The sequence below is a fragment of the Homo sapiens genome, chromosome 5, assembly GCF_000001405.40.
Source record: "Homo sapiens chromosome 5, GRCh38.p14 Primary Assembly".
NCBI classification, from domain to species: domain Eukaryota; kingdom Metazoa; phylum Chordata; class Mammalia; order Primates; family Hominidae; genus Homo; species Homo sapiens.
In genome coordinates, this window is record NC_000005.10 from 5657926 (window position 1) to 5664216 (window position 6291).

Sequence of the window (6291 nt, forward strand, 5' to 3'; positions counted from 1 at the left end):
TTGCTCTATTTAGAGATCTCAAAATAAATGTTTGCAAAGGAGTCCCGCTGTCATTTCATAAACTGATGACTCCTTCATTAGAAAGGGCAATTTTACACTTGAGTTTCATTTTGGATATTCAGGTGCTAATATTGTGTATTCTGTTTGACAGTGTAAAATGCTCTTCTGTTCCACCAGTGAAAAGGGCAGCTCTACAAAAAAAAAAAAAGTCTCTTTATTGCTTGTCTTGATATTGCTAGCTAGCTGAGGAGAATGCTAAAAGAAACAATTTCCCTCCCATTCCCTGTAGAAGACACCCTGTAGCTTTGACCCAGAAGCTTCAAGAACGTCAGAGGAGAAGATAGGAGCAGAAGAGCTCTGTGCAGGTGACCAGAAGAAAAAGACTGAAGCTCAACATGAAGCTAAGGAAGAAAACAAAAGCAAAAGCAAAACCCTGAGCAGGCATGGAGTGGCTTAGTCTTGCTGTCCTGTCTGAGTTCTGAACACATGTAATATCCCGTCACCAATTCCAGAAATACTTGAGAGATCTGAGATCCTGCCAGTGCCTCTGAATCACAGTGTTGTTGGGAAGGCAGCCTCTCCCGAACCCAGGGAAGCCTGGCACGCTATCAGCTAGATTATGTCATAGACATGCTATGGTTTTAGTAGTTGTGAATGTAATTTCTCTATTTCATTTTGTAATTGGTTATTACTGGCAAAAGCAAAAATGCAACTGATTTTTATATGTTTATATTTTATATAGCAATCTTGCTGAACTATCATTTCCCAGCCTTCTTGGCAAGAAAAACCATTGTGCTTGATGGGTAATGCTTTTTTGTTAGTATTATTGTAGCTATGCCTTTCTATTCTTTGGTAGTATTATCATAGTATTATTGTAGCTATGCCTTTCTATTCTCTTAGTCATTACCCTTAATTTTATCTATCAGCCTAACAATAAGTAGATATTGATTATTTCTGCCCTGGTTGTGGTCTTATCCAATAAACTGTACATAGGCTGTGGCTGGTGACATTCCATTGTGGGTAGTTCTGCAGAGAAACCAATTCTGTGATTCAGGAGGGCTGGGAGACTCTCTGAAGTGATACCCTGGAGCCAGGGAGGTAGGGTTTCCCCCATCCGTCCTGGGACAGAAAGGCACAGCTGAGGGCCTTTGGTTGCTTGGTGACCATCCTCATTATGGATGCAAGAGAGGCAGAAGAAACTGTATAGGGAGCTGAGATTTCATTTATTTCAGCTACTGGCAGGTGCCAAGGGTCATGCTGTCAGAGGCAGGGCTGATATGCAGAGAGTGCAGGACATGAGAATATGCACAGGGCAATGGGGTGCAGGTGCCAGGGACTCAGTGACTGGGTGGGTGCAGGGAAGGGATGGGTGCAGGGGTACAGGACTGCATGGACCACTTCAGGCTTGGCCCTGGGCTCTCCAGCACCCATACACAGAGCACGTGTATCTCCAAGACAGGGAATCAATTAGTATTAATTATCTTCTTTGCACTAGGCATTGCTTTTATTAAAATCTTGTAAATCGATAACATCAACACAAAAGGAGTGCAAATGATCCTTACCCCTATTCCCACAGCAGTTGTTTATATTTTAAATCTAACAGAACCTTAAAAATATGTATTTAAAAAGGTGAATTTCTTTGCATAGCTCTTATGAGAAAACAGAGTGGTTTCTACAATTTATTGAGAAAATCGTTGGGCTTTTGTCCTTTAACCTGTTAATGCTGAGAATAACGTGTATAGACTTTCTAATATTAAATCCTATTTCTATTCCTGCAATAAGTGCAATGTAGACACTGGGATTACCATTTTTTATATACACTGTTGGATTCAGTTTGCCAATATTTTATTTAAAGGATATTGAAACAGTGTTCAGGAGTGAGTCTGACCTGTAATATTTTTTTCCTTTTGTTGTTTGCTTTTCTTTCATGTGCTATTTTTGTTTGGCTTGAGTATCGAGGCATACTGATCTCATAGAAAGGTTTGGAATATTTTTCCTTCCTATGCACTGGGAGAATTTGTATAAGGTTAAAACTTTGGTATAAGTGTCCTATAAAACCATGACAGCTTGGTATTTTTCTCTGTAGGAAGATTTTTAACTGATGCCTCAAAATATTTGCTAGTTCTAATGTTATTCACAATTTTCTGTAGATTCAGTTTTGCTAAGTTATATTTTCTAGAATGTCTTCATTTTGTTTAAGTTTTCAGATTGACTAGCAAAACGTTATTCGTGTCATATTTTCACTTTTGCTTTATCTGCAGTCACGTCTACTTCCATTCCTAGTATTGCTTATTTTGCCCTTTTATTCTCCTGATCAATTTTACTAGACATTTGTCTATTGCATTAACCTTTTCAAAGTGCCAAGTTTTGGTTCTATTTCTCTACTGAATATTTATTTAATTGATTTCCAGTCCCCTTTATTATCTCCTTACATTTACTTTATTTGGGTCTATGCAATGATTCACTTTCTAACTTTTTAAGCTGTATGCTTAACTCATTAATATTTAGAGTTTCTTCTTTTAAATAAAAGAGTGTAAGGCTAAAATAGTCCCTGTAAGTGTTAGTTTATTTGCATCTCACAAGTTTTAATGTAGTATTTTCATTATCATTAAATATTTCTAAATTTCCATTTCAATTTCTTCTTTGTCTTATGAATAATTTAAAAGTGGGTCTTTTATTTTCAAATAGGTAGAGGACTTTCACTTTCCTTTCTCTTACTGATCTCTAACTTAATTCCATCATAGTCACACAATATAATCTGTAGGATACAAATTATTTGAAATCGTTGAGACTTGTCTTACATTTTCCAACATGGCCAATTTTGGTAAATGTCTCGTGTGTGTTTCTGAGACCAATGTGATTCCACAATTGTTGGATGCAGAATTCTATATATGTCCATTAAATCATGCTGATGATGTGGCTCAAAACTTCTATAGCTTTGATAATTTTTCCTGTTTGACATACCGTAATTGAGAAGGTGTTGAAAGATCACACTAGGATGATACATTGTTCATTTTCTCCCTATATATCTGTCAATATTTAATTCAGGTATTTAGTAACTGTTGACAGACTTCCCAGAGGTTTAAAATTGTTAAATTCTATTATTGAATTATTTTTAGAAATCATTTTTTAGTGACTCTCTATGATTAAAATTCTTTGTGCCTTAAAGTTTTTTAACTGATATTAATACAGTGATCTCAGTTTTCTTTTGATTAGCATTTGCCAAATGTACTTTTCTTTTTTTTTCTTTTTTACTTTAATGCTCTTTGTGCCTGTAAGTGCAAATGTATCTCTTACATATAGCATACAATTGGATTTTTTAAAAAATCTAATCTGGTGATCTTTAATTTTCACTGTTGGGTTTAGTCCATTTATTTTAACTCTATTCAAATATCTGGACTTGCTTCTCTGTCATCTTAAAATTGAAAATACTTTTAAATAAGGAGCCTTGTGATTTCATTTTGCATTGAGCCTCACAAATTTTGTAGCTGTCCCTGCAGGAGGGGAGCGTGCTGGCTGTGCAGGGGAGGCCAGCACCAAGCCTGGGAGGTGGACGTTACCTGGGTGAGTTGGAATGGATTCTGAGTTCCTGGGCATTTTCTTTCCTGCTGATGATCTGATTCTCTTCCTATGCCATAGTTTCTTTAAGAACTGAATTTATAGAACATTCATTATAGGCTAGGTGTTGTGCAAACAGGCATTTAATTCTCACAATAACACTATGGGCAGAATTATTAGCCTCTATATAAATGGGGTATAATAATTTCCCAGGCTTATAAAGCTTTATAGCCAAGGAAATGGAAGCTCGGAAGTTATGTAACTTGCAGAAATTTAACCCCGGCCAATGGCAGGACCCAGATCCAACCTCAGGCATGTGTCACAGTGACATTCTTCAACCCCTTCCAACTGACAGCTTGTTTTCTGACCTGGGTTTAGCAAAATGCTTGTTCCAGAATTGGTTTCCTGATGATCCCAATCTCCCCTTGCCTTCCTGTGTGCTGTGTTTGTTTCTCCAGAAGTCCTATCCTCCATTTTTGTTTTCAGGTGTGATACCATCCAATGCCAATGACCCCAGCCACTGTGTTCAGGTAGAAAGGCATGACTCCCTGCGCCATTAGGATTTCTGGAGCTGCGTCGGCCTGTTGCACCTGGCTGCCTGCCTCCATCTACAGGGTCATAGCTTGGCACTGGTACTTTACTGAACCACCCAACTGTTTACTGGAGGTTCCCTTGCTCCTTTCTGGGATGGCCCAGGTCTTTGCTCTACCTCAACCTCCTTGCTCTATTCAACAACGTTTGACTGGATGGACCTATAGAACAAGATTAATGCGTTTTGTTTTTGTCTCCCAAATTCTAGCCCAGATTGAAGGACCTGCTGCTTTGAAGGATGTTGGTTTAGCTTCCAAATTATTATTGTTATTGGCCTCCTCCTTCTGTTTTAATTTTACAGTTAGACTCCTTTTCTACTTTTCACCTGGGTACGTAGAGTGCCCATCCTTTTGGCCTATTGAAACACTGGGGTCATGAAATCTTTTGACAGTCCACTAAAAAATATTATCTCCCCTTTCCCAGTCCCCCTTATCTCATTCTACTCTGCTGTCTCAATCTGGAGTCAGCTCAGCCTCCACCCAGGAGCACAACCCTGAAGAAGACAGACAGAGGGCATGTGCACACATCTACACAATGCACACAGTTCATTTCCTCCTCCAACTGAATCCCTGCACTGCTGTTCCACACTCGTTCCCTCACTGACCCCTTAACAGAAATTCCTACTGACCTGTCCTGTGGGCAGAATTACCTTTCAGCACCCACCCACTGCTGTCAAACCACCACAGCCCTGCTCCTTTACGGCCCTACGTAAACCAAGTGGTTATTTCACTTCTGATGTCCTTCTATGATGATGACCGTGCTATTACACTGTAAACTCCAGGAGGGGAGAAACTATGATTTCCAGTTCTTTAGAATAACTGTAGAAACTGGTGTATCACTTGTGCTTAGTAAATGCTTTTGTGGGTGAATCTTAACTATTCAGTTAGAAAATCTTACAAAGCCTGACGCTGTCTCAGCTGCAAAAAAAAAAAAAAAAAAAAAGCCGTGAGTTCTGCACAGTTACAAATTACGTTTCAAACCAGCTCTGCATGTTATTAAAGCATAGAGAATGCTGTTTTAGTCAGTTGTATTATATGCGTTTGTATATAAATTCACAGGCTCTTGGTGTGTGTTTCATAAACTATTGTTTTTACACCTATGTGCTTGACTCTTTGTTAATATTTTATTCAACCTGTTATAAAAGTAAAACTAAACAGTTGTTATGACCATGTTCTAAAGTATCCTTCTCTTGAATAAATACTTTCCATATTGTGCATATTGTGTAGACTACAGTTGTAATATAAAATGTTACTACTTTTATTTTTATGTGTGCTAAGCAATTTGGTGTTTGGAATCTCTTGAATTTCTCTTTTCAGTAAAATTCTCCTGGTAATGCATTTGGAACAGGAATTTCATTATTATTTATTTACTTATTTATTTAGAGACAGAGTCTCACTCTGTTCAGCCTCCCAAGCAGTAGCTGGGATTACATGTGTGTGTTACCATGCCCGGCTAATTTTTGTATTTTTAGTAGAGAGGGGATTTCACCATGTTGGCCAGGCTGGTCTTGAACTCTCTACCTCAGGTGATCTGCCTGCCTCGGTCTCCCAAAGTGCTGGGATTACAGGTGTGAGCCACCACACCCAGCATGGAATTTTATTATTTTTATACTTTTCTTCTCCTTATGTTGTTTCTGAATTCCTTAATTCTTTTTCCTGTTCCATGTCAGGTTTTCAACTTCTGCCGGTAATAAAGCATGTTAATTCTTCCTAATGTGGACCATCCCGACATTGGTAAGCTAACTTGGCCATCCTCATGGACTGTGTCACTTTTTAGCCTTCTTTTCTTATTTGTACCTTTTAAATACTTTTTGATGGTCGTCTGCATTCCACTCATATCCTGCATTGAAAGTGAATAGGGTTTACCATAATATATGCTAAAGGAGAAACATTTGTTCTCTTCCATTAATATGCTATATATTTTAAGCATTAGGATTACAGATACCTTTAAAATACAGTATTATTTTTTAATATAATGACAGGCTTAGCTGGTTCTCTTGCAAAGATTAGGAATCAGGTTACTTTCTTTTTGTAGCTTCTAAAACAATTTTATTTTTCATCCTTCTTGAGACTCCATTTTTTAAAAATCTAGGGACATCGAGCCACTGTAACAAAAATAAAATCAATTGGTGACCAAGTATAA